This window comes from Homo sapiens, chromosome 12, assembly GCF_000001405.40.
Source record: "Homo sapiens chromosome 12, GRCh38.p14 Primary Assembly".
NCBI lineage: Eukaryota > Metazoa > Chordata > Mammalia > Primates > Hominidae > Homo > Homo sapiens.
This window is the reverse complement of record NC_000012.12, coordinates 96569316-96588142: the sequence shown is the minus strand read 5'-3', so window position 1 is coordinate 96588142 and position 18827 is coordinate 96569316. Positions and strand designations below refer to the sequence as shown.

General features: G+C 36.1%; 1 protein-coding gene across 2 annotated transcripts in view; it reads right to left on the bottom strand.

The window, feature by feature from the left end:
* Positions 1 to 18827, bottom strand: part of CFAP54 (cilia and flagella associated protein 54) — a 385979-nt gene that overhangs the window by 287413 nt on the left and 79739 nt on the right. For both annotated transcript variants that reach the window (NM_001367885.1, NM_001306084.2), the window contains exons 20-22: positions 11382 to 11558; positions 7454 to 7546; positions 7038 to 7223 (exon numbers count right to left, since the gene is read on the bottom strand). In NM_001367885.1, coding sequence (NP_001354814.1) covers positions 7038 to 7223; positions 7454 to 7546; positions 11382 to 11558 — 456 coding nt within the window. The remainder of the gene's footprint in view (positions 1 to 7037; positions 7224 to 7453; positions 7547 to 11381; positions 11559 to 18827) is intronic.

Below are 18827 nucleotides of genomic sequence, written 5' to 3'. Positions count from 1 at the left end.
AAACAAGTGGGTAATAAGATTGGACAAGTTCAAGTGAGACATGATTTCAGAAGGCCTTGAAAATCAGATGGAAGAATTTAAAGGTGTCAAGTACTGGACTAAGCACTTTATGTGCATTGCTGTATTTATTCTTCATCAAAGTTCTACGAAGTGAGCTCTGTTGCCATCCCTATTTGTGAATGAGGAAACCAGAACATTGAAAAGTAGAATAATTTGTACAGAGTCTGACAGTCAGTAAAAATAGTGAAGCCAAGTCTTCGAGTGGTTAATGAGTCACTTTTCTGGGCTACATTAATCAAATGACTCAACTGTACTAAGTGGTCACTGAAATATAAATACATATAATTAAAATATATAATTATTAAGGTTTATCATGGAAAGCAATAATGTGTGTAAGCAATAGATGATGTGTAAGAGGGTTGGTGAAACTATAATTAACTGTTCTTTTCTTGTAAAATGTATCCCTTTTAAAATAATGTTCTTTGTTCCATCAGTTAACATTGCAAAACAGGAAAAGATACCGTGATTAAAATTAAGGTTTATAAAATCATGAGGTTTTGTGAGGTTTCTTTAACAGAGGAGTGCCATGATATAAGCATGTTCAAAAATGGTTAACCTGGTCCTGGTAGTGATGTGCAGAACAGATTTTAGAGGGGCTGAATGAAAATGAGAAAGAAGCACTAAAAGACTAATGAAATAATTAAGTACAGTAGATACCTCCTCTTTGATGCCTGACCTTCGCTTGGCTTCCAGAATTCCACTCTTGGTTTTCCTTTTACTTCTTTTCCTCAACCTCTTTATATTGGTATGCCCCAGGGTTCACTCTGTGAACTGCTCCTCTTTTCTGTCTACCCTCATTTCTTATTGATACCACCTAGTCCTATAGTTTTATCACTCTCAAATCCCTCTCCTGCCCAGACCCCTTCCCCAAACTCCAGATTCATACATCTAACTGACTACTCAACAATTCTCTCCATATATACTAAACACCTTACCTCAACATGCCTGGAACTGAACTGATCTCCCACTCCCCCGAACCTCCACCACCCACAGCCTTCCACAACTCAGTTGATGTCAACTCTGTCCTTTCAATTGGTCAGCTAATACCTTAGGGTCATCTTTTATTTTTCTCTTTATGGACTCTTGTTAGCTCCTCCTTCAAAACATGTCCAAACACTGACTACTTCTCACCACATCAGCTACCAGCACACTGGCCAAGCCACCTTCACCTCTCACTGGGTTACAGCAGTGGATGGTGCTGCCACTCTACCCCCTTACGTTCTATTTCCAATGTAGCAGCCAGGGTGAACCTTTAAAAACAGGAGTCACGTTACATCATACCACTACTCCAAACTGTCCAATCGCTGTCCACTTCACTCAAGTCAAAAGCCAAAGTCCCTGTAATGCCCTGGAAGTCTTTTCATGATCTGCTCCCCATCTACCCACTCACACCTTAGCTCTTTGACCTGTCCCTTTTACTCTCCATGGGTCCCTCTGCTCCAGTCACACAAGCTTCCTGCTGTTTACCAAGCATACCAGGTACACTTCTGAAAACCTTAGGGCTTTTGCTCTAGCTGTTCCTTCTGTAAATGCTCTTCCCCCAGAGAGCCATTCCCTCATCTCCTTCAAGTCTCTACTTAAATCTCGCCTTCCTTGATCACCCTATTTAATATTGTAATCTACCTTCCATTCCCCTACTTCACATTTCCAATTCGTTTTACATACTCCACTTGGTTTTTCCATAGCATTCATTATCTTCTGAAATACTAGATAATTTACTTGTTTACTGTGGTCATTGTTTATTACCTATCTCCTACCATGGCATTCTGTTCACGTTGCTTAGAACAGCAGTTCTCAAAGTATGGTCCCTGGGCCTCAGCATCACCCAGGAACTTGTTAGAAATGCAAATTCCCAGACCCAAACTCAGGCCTAGTGAATCATAAACTCTGGCAGTGGCATCCAGCAATCTGCTTAACCAGTACTCCAAGTCATTCCTATGTGCACTCAAGTTTTAGAGTCACTAACCTGGGGCAATGCCTGGCACAGAGTAAGCACTCAAATAATGTGTTGAGTGAATTTAAAAATCCTCTTTTCCTGATAATATCCCTCTACCCACAGAGAAGGACACCCAGCAGTTGTACTAGACTATAACAAGGTTGTTAGAGACTCCCCTGCAAAGCAAGATGGGCCCCCATCCAAAGTGTGGTTCTGATGTTAAGACTGATGACACTCCATACAGCAGGAAAATTTGAGAGAAAGTATATTGCTTACACAAGGGACTTCTTGGGAAAGCTTGGCAGGCACATGACTGTCTGGGCTGGCTTGGGCAAAGCAGAGGGAGAAAGCAGGTTGGGCCTTCATAGGAGTTGAGAGATAGGACTGGGGAAAGTCCATGCTGGCTGTAAGGTTTAAATTTCCTGCTGCCACAAAATAAAAAGGAGAGCTCATAGGCCTTCTTATCATCCTGCCCAGATGTGGGGCCAAAGGCAAAAAGAAGGGTGAGGTTTAAAAACAAGTTGCAGCCAGGCGCTGTGGCTCATGCCTGTAATCCCAGCACCTTGGGAGGCCAATGTGGGCAGATCACCTGAGGTCAGGAGTTCGTGACCAGTCTTAGGTCTGTGAAGTGGGGGAATGGAAGGTAGATTACAATATTAAATAGGGTGATCAAGGAAGGTGAGATTTAAGCAGAGACTTGAAGGAGATGAGGGAATGGCTCTCTGGGGGAAGAGCATTTGCAGAAGGAACAGCTAGAGTAAAAGCCCTAACGTTTTCAAACAACATGATGAAATCCTATCTCTTCTAAAAATACAAAAATTAGCCAGGTATGGTGGCACACGCCTGTAATCCCAGCTACACAGGAGGCTGAGGCAGGAGAATGGCTTGAACACGGGAGGTGGAGGTTGCAGTAAGCTGAGATCGCACCACTGCACTCCAGCCTGGGCAACAGAGTGAGACTCCAACTCAAAGAAAAATAAATAAATAATAAAAAGAAGTCAAAAAAATAAAAACAAGTCACAAGTCAGTTGTCAAACATCGAAAATGAGATCAGCGGCATTCCAGCCTGGGCAACAGAGTAAGATCATTTCAAGAAAAAAAAAAAAAGAGAGAGAGAGAGATCAGACTCTTTATTATACTGGGTGGGCCAATCACATTCTCTTTCCCAGGAATTTGGAGCCACAGTTAGAGGCTAGTCAGCTGATCTCCATTTATAGCTTAAATTGAGGGATATATAAAAACTCAGGAACTGCCACCTTTCCTCCAAAGATGGAGAAGTAATGAAAGCTAATGTTTAGAGAAAAATACAAGAAAGCAGACGCACAGGGTGAACCAGAAGTATGAGACCTAGAGCTGCTTGGACTCTGCTGCATTCCCAGGGCCTAGCTGCATTACCCCAAGCTGAGCTGGTTCCATGACTTGCAATCAGGGTTTTAACTGAAACTATAAGTCAGAATTATCTAAACAAGTATTACTGTCATTGTAATGAGATTGATAAAAAAAAAAAACATATTTCAAAGGATGAAGTGATGACATCTAGCATATAACTTGGCACAAGATAAACATTGACTAAATGATTCATCCATAAATAATAGATGAGTGGAAAGAGTGGTAATCTTCAGTTAGAGGATGAGAGGGAAAAGAAGAGTTAAAACTCTTTTTGTTGTTATTGTTGTTGTTTTTAAGACAGGGTCTCGCTCTGTCACTCAGGCTGAAATGCAGTGGCATAATCTTGGCTCACTGCAACCTCCACCTCCTGGGCCCAAGCAATCCTCCCACCTCAGCCTCCTAAGTAGCTGGGATTACAGGTGCGTGCCACCACATCTGGCTAATTTTTGTATTTTTAATAGAGACAGGGTTTCGCCATGTTGCCCAGGCTGGTCTTGAACTCCTGACCTCAAGCAATCTGCCTCCCTCAGCCTGCCAAAGTGCTGGGATTACAGGCGTGAGCCACTACACTGGGCCTATTTTTTTTTTATTTGAATGAAAAATAAAATAGACAAAAGACAAACCATTATTAATAAAAGGAGTTTTGATTAATAATGGGTTTTAATGAATTCACATACAAAGTGGGAGTCGTGTGAACTTCATTTCCCCTTCACCTGCCACCATCGTGATTGCTGACAAAGCATTCATGTTCCAACATCAAACTCTACTGCCAATACAGATCATGAAGACCTGCTGATTAACACCAACACAGGGAGAGAATAAAAAGAAAATTGATAGAGGAAGAGGTAAAGACAGTGAAAGGGAAGGAAGAGGGTTAAAGAGAAGAGGAGCTCTCTAAGGAGCAGAGGGTCACTTAATAGATTGGAGAGATGCAGGCTCTAGGAGACTTGGCACATGTTAGGTGTCCAATACATGACTTCCTGGAACCTGGACAGAGCAGTCCAAAGGCATGAGCTGGTCCAAGTGTCAGGCTTGACATCTGCTACCTGAGCAACCTTGGGTACATTTCTTAACCTCCCTGAGACACCCTTTTAGGGATACAGTGGGTTTGGCAGAGGAAGGATTAAATTAATCTGTTCCTTCAACTATAAAAGAAAAGTAATCATACTACCTCATGGAGTTATTATAATAAGTGGAATAATAAATTTTAAATGCCTGGTACACAGTAGTTCTTAAATAAACGATATTCCTCCTTTTCTTATCTCAGTAAGCCATTGTGCCCACTCACTACTTGATTTGGTAGTTCAACAATTCACTCAAATATGGCATTTTGTCTTACATCCATTTTACAGATAGGAAAATTGAGACCAATTTGCCTAAAATCAGTCTCCAAGGTCAAGATCAGAATCCTGCTCACAGATTTCTACTCTTCTACATTTATATGATATTATCTAGTCATTTTCTACTTAACGAGGAGGAATAAAAAGAAATAGTCTAAAAAGAAGAGAAAATAGCCACAGAAAATAGATAATTCAAAAAGTTTCCTCAAAAAAAAATTTCCAGATACACTAAACTAATAGCCTTCTACATTTAGGGAAAGCCTAGTAGAGATTCACTTGATTTTATTAATATTTACAGAATAATGCTGAGTAAAAAGTACAACCTAAAGTCCCAAAAGCCAAGTTAATCACAGGCATTTAGTGAAACGTCTCCATGCTTTACTATCAAATATTTATAATAATATGTTTTAAAGAAAAGAACTGTCCTGAAACTAGAAACTAACCACTCTCATGAAAATTAGATTGCACTTACAAAATAGAGGTACATTAACTTGCTGAAACTTAAAAGCTTAAACTTAAGTTATAAATTAAGGAGGTTTAATAAGTGAGAAAGCTTTGCTTTAGCCTCTTAACATTATGAGACAGAATGCACATAAACCATCATAAATAAACTACAGAACTGCAAATATAGTGTCAGTAAAGAAACACAGGTCATTACTTCATGACACTACTCATTATCCCAGCAGTATAGCTCTGACTTAGTTTTATTAACTTTCAATGAAAGTTCTACCAAATTAAGCCCAAGAGTCAAACCACTCCCTGGAGAAAAATTAGGCCTTGATGAAATATTCAGTTCCTCACAATAACTCCATCACTGCAAATTAGGGAATATATTAGATTCCAAAGATACCAAAACATCAGAAAACCATGAGCCAGTATGACACGCTAAACCAATACTAGACAAATCCTAGTAATTCTCTCAATTTAATTTTCTTTGAAAAATATGCTATATAAAATGCCACTAAGATCTTATCTTATATTACTAATCAACTATTAAGAGAAAATAGAATAGAAATATGACAAAATTTAGAAAAGCCATCAGCTCTACAGTCAAGAATAGGCTTAAAATTAGATACTTGAGACCTATGTCAATGAGTCACTCTTCCTAGCATCCTCTTCACTGATGACATGTTTTAAGTCAGGCAACAACTATTTCGACAAAAAACATTAATTCATGAGTATATCCCTAACTAAAAACAATACTATTTATTCAATGCCTACTGTGTGATAATATTTGACAGGCATAATTCCATTTAATACTCATAATACCTCTGGGAAGTAGCTACTACTGCTACTCTTGCTTCACAGATGAAAATTACTTGTCCACTATCACATGGCTGTGATAGTGTGAGAAGCTGGAATTTGAACTCAGGTCTCTCTGCCTCTACTGATCCAGAAGTTTTACTTTTATAAATTTACCCTAAGAAAGTAATCATGGATGTAGGTAAAGATTTATATACAAAGTTGGGCATCATAGCTTTGTTTATAATAGCAAAAGACTGGAAAGTATCTAGATGTTTAGCAATGGAGAATTACTAACAAACTATTATATATCCATAAGATTCAATGCCATGGAACCATTAAAAATTATGTTTTGGAAGAATACTTAATGGAATACAGCAATGTCAATTATATGTTAAGTGAAAATATCAGGATGTAAAATAATATGTATACTATGATTTAAATTATATATTGTACATAAATTCATATACACGTGTGTGTGCATGTATATATATATATATATTAATTAGATAGATAAATAGGCAGATAGATACACAAAAATAAAAGGATATCTCTGGATTAGGGTTTCTCAATCTTGACACCACTGACATTTTATGCTGGATAATTCTTTGCTATGCGGGCTATCCGGTACATTGTAGGATGTTTATCAGCCTCCCTGGCCTCTACTCACTAGATGCCAGTAGCACCCCTCTAGTTTGTGACAACTGAAAATTTCTCTAGACATTGACAAAATTGCCCCAGGGTAAGAACTCTGCTACTCTGGATGATAGGATAACAGATAACATTTATTTTCTTCTTTATGCATTTCAGTGTTTTCCAGCATTTCTAAAATTAATATATATGTGTTACATTTGTAATCCAGGGGAAAAAATGTTATTGTCAAAAAGCAAATTTACTAATAAGAGAAGGAATGATTCATATTTTATGAGACAAAACTGTAGTAATGGATAATATGTGTTATAGGAGCTTTAGAATATCTGCTGTGATTTTTATTTCCATCAGAAATTACTTCATAACTGCTTAATGGAAAAAAAAACACAGTGGAAAAAATTAGCAGAAATCTTTTCTACCTGTGTCAGGAACATCCGAGCAGTAATAGTAGAAAGAGGGGGATAAACCAGAATTGGTTTAGTTGTCTCCCCAATAGCACCACCGACAAGCTTTCCGTTGTTAGAATAGGCAGCAACTGCAAATACATACTTTTCATTGGTTTCTAAACCTTTCACTTCAAAAACACTTTTACCGTCAGCTGGTATCTATTAAGAAAAATATATTTCAAGTTATACATGAAAAATTAAAATAACATGACTTTTAAAATACAATTAAGTAAACCTTCTATTAAAAAAAAACCTTTTTCTTTCATTGTTGGATTTTAGTTATGATTCAGGTGGAAATTAGAGAGATTCACCAAAACAATGACTTCATTTAAAAATTTAATTATCATTAAAGGCTTCAGTAAGATTTCCTGATGTTTAATTTGACGTACCGCTTCTCCTGAATTTGGGAGATGATTATTGTTTAGCCGTACTTTTCCATAACTTCCTTCTGCTTTGCAACCCAAAATGCAGTACCAGGAGACCTGCCGACGAGAAAAATGAGCCTGTTTAAAAGGCATTCTTTTATATCAATGTAACAAAAAAAATACTTTTCTAAATAAAAATGTAATGATTCAGGTTTTAAAACATGAAATCCAAGTTTACAAATATACTTAGGTTTAATCTTTAAAGAGTAAAAGTAACCTTAGCTAGTTTACTGAGGCAATTAAGACTAAGATATTATTCATTATTAATTATTTTAACCACCATTAATTGAACAGTTCCTACTGCTAAGTACTGTTAGGAAATTTACAGATATTTTCTAATATGCACAACTCTATGAGATGGGATTACTATTGTCATTTTGCTTCACAGGAAATGGAGATGCAGAGATGTTAAATAACTTTGCCTAAGATCAGACAGATAGTGGCAGGGTTGACTCCTAAAATGACTTTGTCTTGATGTAAAAAAAAAGATTAACACTCAAGTGATTTTCATATTTTACATGATAATGTATGACAAAAAAAGCAAGTGGAAAGAGAAGCAAGATACTAAAATATATTATTTTAAATAAAATATAAAAATACATATGAAAAAGCCTAGAAGAAAACACCCCTAAATAAGAACAGCAGTAGGATTTGGATGATAAAATGGTAAGATGATAGGTAAATAATGGGCCAATTTTTTTCTCCAATTTATACATTTTCTGAAACATGATATTACTTTGATAATTTTTATATTTAGTTTAATTTTATATTTTAAATAAAAACATTAGACATAAATCAAACATAAAATATAAATCCCACAGAAACAACAAAATTTAACCTTGATTAAATAGTTAGACAATGATCCTTTCGCCGAGGTGTCAAGATAATGAAGATTCATTATTGGAATGAACTATTCTCCCTACAGAGAAAAAGGGAGCTAGGTGACACCTGACGGGGTAGTATTATGAACAAGCCATACTGCTGAGGGTTATAGGGGTCATGACTGTGTCATTACCTTCTTCCCAGAGGCAACTCCTAAACTACAAGGCAAGCTAGAAAGAAGGAAAAATACAATTGCCTCTAAAAAAAATACAATTGTCTCTAAATACAACTACGTCTTACAGCTTGTGCCTGCTACTCCTTCCTTCAGGTCAACAGAAAAATACTAACTATGTCCAATTGACACAAGTGGTTCTCAACACTGACTGTGCTCCAGAATTACTTCTTTAAAATACAAATTTGTACAGAATGAACCATTTTTGTAAATTACAGATACCCAAGCCTGTCTAGCTTCAATGAATTAGAATTTCTGATGCAAGTTTCCGCATCTTTGTCTTTCCAAAGAACATTTCTCAGGTGACTGTGATATGCACAACTGATTAAAAAGCACTAGTCAAAGGCAGAACAGGACAAAGAGAACACAGAAGGAACCTGAAGCTGGAGAATAGGGTAGAAAAAAAAAATCAGATGAATCTCAGAAAAAAAAAATGCAAAACTAACTTCCTTTGATTTCCCATGCAAAAAGATACTATTTTTCAAAGAAGAAAAAAGGCAGAAAGACTATGTTCTATGATTTATATCACTATTGCTCCAAGTTCTATTATATAAACCAGAATTTGGAGGGTAAAATTCTCTCTAAAAGCATTTTTACAAGCAGGCTTTATATTTTTATTTTGTTCCACAGATGAAGACATATCAGTTTATGTAACTCTAAGAAACAATGTGTAATTAGAATCTACATAAGGGTAGAGACATCATGAACAAATCAGTACTAACTTTAGAACAGTTTATACGTAATATAAATAACATTAGCATTTTCAACTACAAAAGTAGATTTTAATGAAATGAATGCCTCAACAAGAGATTTTGAGAAAACAAAAGATGGCTGAAGCCTCAACCCAGAAAACTTATTTAAGCCCATAGCACCATCTAGTGCTGATGAGAAGGTAACAGATGGTGATAATTTCCTGGAACTCTCTAAATGAACGTAATACACATAAACTTCCTATAACGTCCTCATTGATGAGTCCTAAAACTATAGGCCAAATATGAGACTCTTATATCTTCCTATTTCCAAGAATTATGAAATGAAATAAACTAATCATTAAATTAAAGTACATACAGAATAAGATTTTGGTTAAAGAAACCCAAATATTTGAACAAAAGCAAACAAAAACTCTTAGTAAAGCACGTGGTCTTAGTTCTGCACTAATTTTCCAAAATCAGTGAAGCTCTATTCTTAAACAGATTCCAAAAATCCAAAGTTTAACTTTAAAACCAGTATCAACAGCAGTAATGCATCTGTCATAGCACAGTTAGGTATAAGATGAATGTCACTTCTATTCCCCTCCTCTCACAATTATAAAGCACTATGAAGGTTGTCATCAGTTCTCACTGATGTCCATTTGCCATTCCTGAAGCTGCTCAAAGTATGCAAGCACATTTAATCCATATTTATCTTTATACCTCAATTACCTCGCACAGAGCTTGACAGATTACAGGCACTCAATAAATGCTCATTGGACAGAATCCACAAAAAATATTACCAAATAATGTAATCACAGTCTATCATTTCATTATTTTTTGTTTTTTTAGATAGTATTTCGCTCTGTCTCCCAGGCTGGAATGTCATGGCGTGATCTCGGCTCACTGCAACCTCCACCTCCCAGGTTCAAGCGATTCTCCTGCCTCAGCCTCCTGAGTAGCTGGGATTACAGGTACCTGCCACAACGCCCAGCTAATTTTTTATATTTTTAGTAAAGACAGGGTTTTACCATGTTGGCCAGGATGGTCTCGAACCCCTGACCTCAGGTAATCTGCCTGCCTCAGCCTCCCAAAGTACTGGGATTACAGGCTTGAGCCATCGCGCTTAGCCCATTACTTGTTTTGAGTAAGCTTTACTACTTAACATTTAATACAAGAAGTGGAAAGATATCAGCTAATATGCCAAGAATATTATATATTATCTCATTTAATTTTCACAATAAACACACTTTCCAAATGAAAAAAAAAACTCAGGAAATGTATTTAGCTTTCTTAAGGTCAGACTTCCAGGAAAGGTTGGAGCTAGAATTATAAACCTAAATCTGTCTGACTCCAAAGCCTATGTTCTCTCTACTATACCAAGTTGACATAACTTCAAGCAGAACATCCTAAAGAGAATCAAAGATACAAAGATAAAACTTTATTTTTATGTAACATCAAAGAGCATGTTGTTGATCATCCCAAAGAGGAAAGTGTAGTTTGTAAAATATAAATTAGGTAGAACCAAATTCTTGTGAAGAAACTGAATCTCAAGTTTTAGTCACATATAGGCCAAGTTCTGAGGCATCAGGGATGGGAGAAAAAGCTCACCTTCCAATAAATACACAAAGATGTATGGTTTATAATATGGTTGGAATTGTCCTTTGCTTGTGTTGAAAGAATCTACAGTTACTTGGAAGGACTTTGGGCAGAACCTCTAGACTCATCACCCCTAAATTTTACACACTCTGCTGCCTCATACCATCACTGGCTCTGAAGTAACTTCTACCCTCTTCAAATGTCTGATTCCACTTCAAGTGAGACTTCCATCTTGAGCACACGAGGATGTCAGCATATGGTGTGTCATGGTGACAAGGATACTTACAAGGAGGTGCTTCTCTACTGTTTCTCCTAACAATATATTTGGGTATAGCAATGCAATACAGAGCATATCATAAATATAACAGCATAAGGGGCAACAAGTCATGGAGAAACTAAGTATAGATAAGACATTGGAATATTAATCCAGTGTTCAGTGCTTATGAATAAGACTATCCAGTTCCTAAAAGCAATCAAAGTATGAATCATGGTAGTTATAAAAGTACTTATGTTGCTTTGCATGAGGCAAAAATTTTACTGGACACCATACCTTAACCTCTGAAGTAAATGGAGCAGGTTTGAGTGTCACAGAACAATGAGTTCGAGACAGCAGGATAGGTGGAGGGGGGACTCTGCTTTTCTTTCTTTTTGAACTTTCCAAATATTTCTGATAGGAATATAGGGCATTTTGTTCAGCTTCAATCCTCTGAATTAAGGAATATGCTTCCTATAATGAAATATGAAAATAGAAAAATATATGTCAAGAGCTTGAACTCTATTTACGTTTATAGAATTCTAGTGATGTTAAACAATGTTATATTTTTATATGCAGTTTTTCAAGCCTCAGAGGCTCAAATATATACATATATATTTCAACTATTTAATGATTTTGCAAAAGTAAAAGATGCCTACTAGATAAGGTTAATCATGATCACCAATGGCATTATATTTGTGTATCTTATATGTTTATCATTATTATCATACATGAATATGAGGTAGTACATTTTTAAATTGAACCTTTTGAATATCTACCACATTTCATTTTCCCTAAAAGGTTCATACCATAATCATCTGCATTTATGCTGATGAATTACACAGCTACCCTAATTCAGCTGAAGTGTGACTCTCAAATAATAAGAATATTGGTATATGTGGTTTATGAAATAAATATTATTGAGAGTTTCTTTTTATCAGCAAGAAGAAATAAAATAGAAAAACCATATTCTGTGAAGCTGATGGAAAGGCAACCACTTTTTAAAAAGGTTATATGCAGAGAGATAACACATAAAACAAAAGAGAAATATAAAAATCAGACCTAAATAACATTTCAAAAGTAGGGCTAAATACATAAGCAATAATAATAATGCATGTAAATGGGTTACAATTCCTTTTAAATTAAAAGGCAAAGACTCTCTAACTGAGCTCTAAGTAAAAACCCATGTAAAGATTAAAATTAAAGTGTTGATAAAGAAAGAATAGTCTTTTCTACAAATGGTGCTAGGACAATTGGACATTACATGCAAAAGAATAAAGTTCAACTCCTACTTCACACCATAGGCAAATATTAACTTAAAATGAAATATGCATTCAGATGTAAGAGCTAAGATTATAAAACCCTTAGAAGAAAATATATGACCAAATCTTTGTGACCTTGAGTTACACAATGGTGTTTGGAAGATTCAATGCAATGATGCATTTAAAATGCTTAGTGTTTGGAACAGAGTAAGCAGTCAATAAATGTTAGACATTGATTATGATTATGATTGTGATTACTACTCCTCCTCCTCTTTCTTTCATTTTAAGCACTCTGGAACATTCTGTTTTGCCATATCAGAACTATTATTATTATTACGCTTTCACTTAAAGTGTTCTGGAACACCGAAAGCACACTGACAAAGGAAAAAGTAGATAAGGTGGACTTCATCAAAATCAAAAGCATTTGTGTTTCAAAGGATACCATTAAGAAAGTGAAAAGACAGCCTACAGAATGGGAGAAAATGTTTTCAAATCATGTATCTGATAAAAGACTTGTATTCAGCACTTATATACACTGTTATAACTGAGAATTTTTATAACTCAATAATAAAAAGGAAAATAACTCCTTTTAAATATGGGCAAAGAATGTGAATACACATTTCTCCAGAAAAGACACAAATAGCCAATAAGCACATGAAAAGATGTTCAACGTCATTAGTCATTAGGGATGAAAATACAAAATCAGCAAACTGACTCAAAAAGCAGGAACCTAAACACAGAAATAATAATGTTCAAAGAAACTAGAAATGTTACCCAAAAATTGTTTCATATAAAAGTGTCAGGCTCAAATGAGTTCATAAACAAAATATTTTAAATCTCAAAGAACTGATCATTCCTATGCCATTTTAAATGTTTCCAAATACAGAGAGAAACAGATATCCTCTCAAATAATGTTATAAAACTATTTTAACTTTGATAACCGTCTGAAAAACAACTACACATAAAAACACAGACCAGTCATTTCACAAATACAAATGCAGACACCTTAAATAAAATACATAAAATACTAATACATTCACTCTAACAATATACTAACAAAATAATGAACTGTAATAATACTGTCTTTTTCCCAGGAATGCAAGGACAGTTTAACATTAGGAAGTATATAAATATAATTTAATATATCCATAAATTAAATGAGAAAAAACATGATCATAGTGCTCAATGGCCAAAAAGACATTTCAAACATTTTTTAACATTCATTACAGATTTTTTTAAGTCAATAAATTAGAAAAGCTCTTTTTAGCATTATTTAAAAATATTAATTTTAGCCAATAACCAAAATATTACTAGCACAAAATAGGACTCTTAGTGCTAAGAGTGAAGCACTAATAGAATTATCAATAAAAGCCAGAAAGAATGCCACTATTCCATTTTATTCTGGAAGTTCTAGTTAATTCAACAAACATAAGAGAAGAGATCCTGGAAATGAAAAGACAATATGTCTGTCTACCAAATTTCAAATGTATTTCATTCTGACAGAAAAAAACCTGTGCTGTTTCTCCTACAGAAGACATGTTGAGGTTGAAGTTTCCATTTGGAAACCTGAGCCTCAAGCTCAAAAGGGAAGGTAAAAAACTGGAGATAGGATCTGAGTACGCGTTGGAGTCATATTTAAAGCTGAGTGAGGAAACCAGCTCCCTGTAGGAGCAGAGATTATAAAACTATAACATCATATATTTTTTCTAAAATAATGAAGCCTGGTCGAAATTGAGATCAGAATTAACTTCTCATTTTTCTTTTTTATTGGAAATGGTTGACATTAAGGTCTAAAATCATTAATCGTGATTAAAATGTATCCACGATGATGAATAGTTTTTTAATTCCACTTGTTCAGTGCCAGGAGGCCTTGAGAAATGTTTCTGCATATGCAGGTCAAGAATCTTAGGCATCTGCAAAGACAACCATTCCTTCGTATGGGAAGGGAAGTGTTACATGGTAACCATGTTTCTAGAGCCTGCATACCAGTCCTTCCGTATTTAGACCTAAAAGCTAATTTATATACACATATGAGGTATCAGTGTAACTGTTTGAATCACTGAATGAATGAATCAAGGAGATAAGATGACATCTGTTTCCTCCATTGCCTCCACTTTTTCACTCATTCAACCAAACTAATTTTTAAAAATTATAACAAATGGATGGACAAAAGGGTCAGGGCTAGATGGTGAGGGAGCAATGTCATAAAAGGCCGTAAAAGAGCCAGTGAGGCCCAGAGCACACAATCAGCACAGGGCTGGGCAGAGGCTCATTCCCTCTTCACCCTCTTCCATAGACAACAGAGCAGCTTTGGCTCCCTGAGGGGACGAATGTACCACAGAACAGGACTCCCTTGAAGGGTAACAAAAGGTGAGAGGCTTGATGAGGAAGAGGCCAGAGACAGAAAAGATAAGTGGATTTCCCCAGGTAGCTGTGGAAAAACTTTGAGGGAAGAAAGTCCTACCTGAACAAAAAGGAGATAAAACGCTATTATATTTTGAACATTAAACATTAATGTATCTTCATTCGCATCACAGGCTGTAGAGACCAAGATATTTCAGGTTACATAAGAACAGACAAAATCAGCCTAAGGAAAAATTATGCAAAACAAGGAAAGGAGACCAATGCCCCCACTTCCCTTGGAAATTTGGAGACATATCCTTCCTCGGGATTATGTCTGGAGCCTGTAAAATATACCAGCAGCACTGGCCCACTGGCCCTTATAGTCAAGCAGACTGCCTTTGACCTCCATCTCCACTGACCAGCCAGCCTCTCTGGGCTCCAAATTTGATCTCAAAATTTGCCTTGGTAGTTCCTGATTCAGTGAACCAATTGAACACTAGCACCTTCTGACTTAATTCTTGCATCTTCTTTCTGCACATCAATGAATCCAACTGAGGTAAAAAAAACTTTCTGTGTTCTGCCATGGCTATAACATAGACATTTCTCAACTGGGCTGTTGATCAGTATCATCTATGGAGTTTATTTAAAAATCAGAAGGCTCCATTTCTACCCCAAAATAGAAATCTCCAGGAGTGGAGCTTGAACATCTGTATTATTTACAAACACCAAGGATAATTCCAAAGTACAGCAAGAACTGGGAACCACAGATTCAGGTGAGTAAATCTCCTTTTCCCTCCTGCCTTTCTCCCAGTCTCTTTCTAGTCTCTTCAACCTCCAGTCTTCTAGTCCTTCAATGCCTCCTCTAATACTTGCCAGATAAAGTGCAAACTTTTCCAAAGCCCTTTTCATTCTGATCATGACTACATTTTCTAGCCTTATCCCCCTTTCTACTCTTTCTCTCTCTCATACCTACCTCTCTGTTCAACCTAACCTCTGAAACCATAAAAAAAAAAAATCACTCATTCCCTAAAATGCTGTTATTTCACGCCTCAGAATTGCCCACGCATTTCATTCTTTCTGGAGCATCTCACGTCCTCTTCTCTGCTTTAAGATCCACACAAATGTCACCTCCTCTGACATCTTCCAAGATAGCCCATGTATTTAAATAAGCCATTTCCTTCATTACATAGTATCTTTATTTTAGCAGGTATTACATAATATGTTACCTCTGTACTTGCCTGTCCACACCCTCTAAACACTGGTCTTGGCAGGAAGGACAGTGCTTTGTTTATCTCTTTAAGTTCAGTCAATGTGTTTGGAATATAAGACACACAAAATTATGAAAGAAAAGGGTAATCTTTATTACAGTGTCTTTTAAGATGGCATATTTAAAATGTTCTGATTGGCTCTTGATCAATTTTAACTTTAGACCCCTAACTCAGATCCCATGGCCCAATTTGAAATAGGTTAACAGAAGTATTAAAGTTTTAAGTGAATGGTGACAAAAGAAAAGTTTATAACAAAGCCCTTGATTTAGGTAAATCAGATAAATTCCATAACAGAATTCAGGGCAAACCCTAAGGCTAGTTAAAAACTAGAATCCTAATTTAAGGCAGCCAATTCATTGAGCTGCTAATAAGATTTTGTTTATGAGAAAGTGCCTGGGGCTTTTTAAAGGGGTTCTTCAACTAGAAAAAAGGGAAGTAACATCAGAAAATCCCCCAAAAAAAATCAAGAAGGAAAAATTCCCATGAAACCAATACTACTTAGTCATGAGAAAGTGTTATCAATATGGACCTGAATGTTGTCTATAATAGCAGTGCTCTAGAACACCAACCTATTACAATTGCAAAACCTAGATAAACCATTCTCTAATCACAGGTCAAGAAGTAGACTTTCCATGACGTATCAATAATGAAAAATAACTATATCCTCACATCTTATACTACCTACCACAGTGCCTAGCAAATTAGAAAGGTTCAGTAACTTTGAAAAAAGAAATAAGCCTTTACCTATCACGGGGACTCAGCCAAGAAATCTCGATGGAAAGGGACTTGCCCACCAACTCACAATAAAAATAAGCTCTAAGGTGTTCTTTCAATGGTGGTTTCCACTGCAATGTGCCACCAAAACCACAGTATTGAAGTCCAAAGTATTTTTGTCTGAATGTAAATTTCTCTGCGTATAGTTTCCCTTAGAGAAAATGAAACCTGCCTCTCTTCAGAAGTTACTCAATGCTTATGAGGACAGATTGATGTTAAATACATTTGACACAGGCTTGATGCCCACAGTGCAGCAAAACACTAATGGAAAGATGCAATGGAATCTTGAGGGTGTGACTAAGACATATGTAATCAACTATCACAGGACTGGAATGATAAAGTACCATATTTCCTACATATCTGGTAGACCTCCCTGAGGTATATTCTGGGTTCTCAACATTATAATGTACATTGCAGAAAAAGATGAAAAGTAGATTAAGTCATATCCAAGAATCCTGAGAAGGAATATTGCTTAGAATAAAATATACAAGTAATAAGATAAATCTAAGAGAAAATACAGAAAGAAATGTGTAGTCTGATGGAGGAAAATACATATAAAGCACCAAAAAGTAGTTCAAACAGAATGTCTCAGAGTGCTTAAAGTGAAAGAGAAATAATAATAGTTCTGATATGACAAAACTGAATGAAAAGCAGAGTAATCATAATAATAATGGCTAACATTTATTGACTGCTTACTCTGTTCTGAACACTAAGCATTTTATATGCATCATTACTTGAATCTTCCCAAGAATCCCTGTTTCACAGATGAAGAAATTGAATCTTAAGAGAGCATAAATAACTTGACAGGTCATACAGCTAATCACTGGTAGAACCAGAACTCTAATCCAAGATCCTTATACTCCTAACCACTATGCTATCTTGTCTTAATAAACTAAGTTAAAAGAAGTTTGGAAAGGCAACCTGGATTAAGTTTCCTATGCAATACCCTTAAATCACTTAAAAGAGAAAAAAAATCCAAAATGTAGATATGCTAAATATTCTGTTAGCAGTTTGAAGCCTGGGAGTCAAAACATGGCCTCATAAGAGGAGGGGTCAGAATTAGAAGTTGGCTCATTGATTTAAAAAAAAAAAAAAAGAAAAGAAAAAAAGACTTGAGCACACAATTACAAAGAGCTGAGGCTGGGCACAGTGGCTCATGCCTGTAGTCCCAGCACTTTGGGAGACTGAGGAAAGCGGACCCCTTGAACCCAGGATTTCGAGACCATGCTGGGCAACATGACAAAACCGCATCTTTACAAAAAAATACAAACAGCCAGGCATGGTAGCATGGGCCTGTGGTTCTAGCTACTCAGGAGGCTGAGGTAGGAGAATGGCTGAACCCAGGAGGTCGAGGCTGCAGTGAGCCATACACACCACTGCACTGCAGCCAGGCTGACAGAGCAAGACCCTGTCTCATAAATAAATAAAAATAAAAATAAATTTTTAAAGGCCTATGTATATTCTTCCCCCCTAAAAAAAAATCAGATAGAATTGATTTGACTTGAAATGCTACAAAATAGGAAAAACAATTAAATCCAACTACTGCTAATATAGTTAATAGACTGGTATTTAGGGGATATCAAGAAATAAATTCAGGAAGTATTAAAGCCAGAGGTTATTAGAACTGCTAATACCCCTGAATTTCTTCGTTAGTTCTGGTCCAAAATGGTACCATAAATTAGATTCTGTGTTGATTATAAACAATAACCTGCTAAATCATAATGCTCCTTTGCTTAGAGTGGAATTTGGAATTGTTGAAATGATCTCAACTACAGATTTGTTTAGGTTCCTACAAATAGTACTAGAAGAAAACCAGATGAAACAACTGGGTTTCTTTGCAAGAGAAACAACTGGAAAACCTGGCTTGGACAAAAGTAGCCCCAGAGAGGAAGGAGGGTCTACGAAACACAGTTATAATGGTGTAATCAGAATACAGTTATGAGGATGAATGAATTGCCAACATTTCCTTAGAGAAGACAAACTTATTTTCCTAAGCAATAATTTTCTACATTAGGGTGTACAAAACTAAGGTCTTTTAGTCTTTGTATCCCTCTACTCAAGACTGGAAGGAGCAGTCAACTGGCCCAGGTGGCATC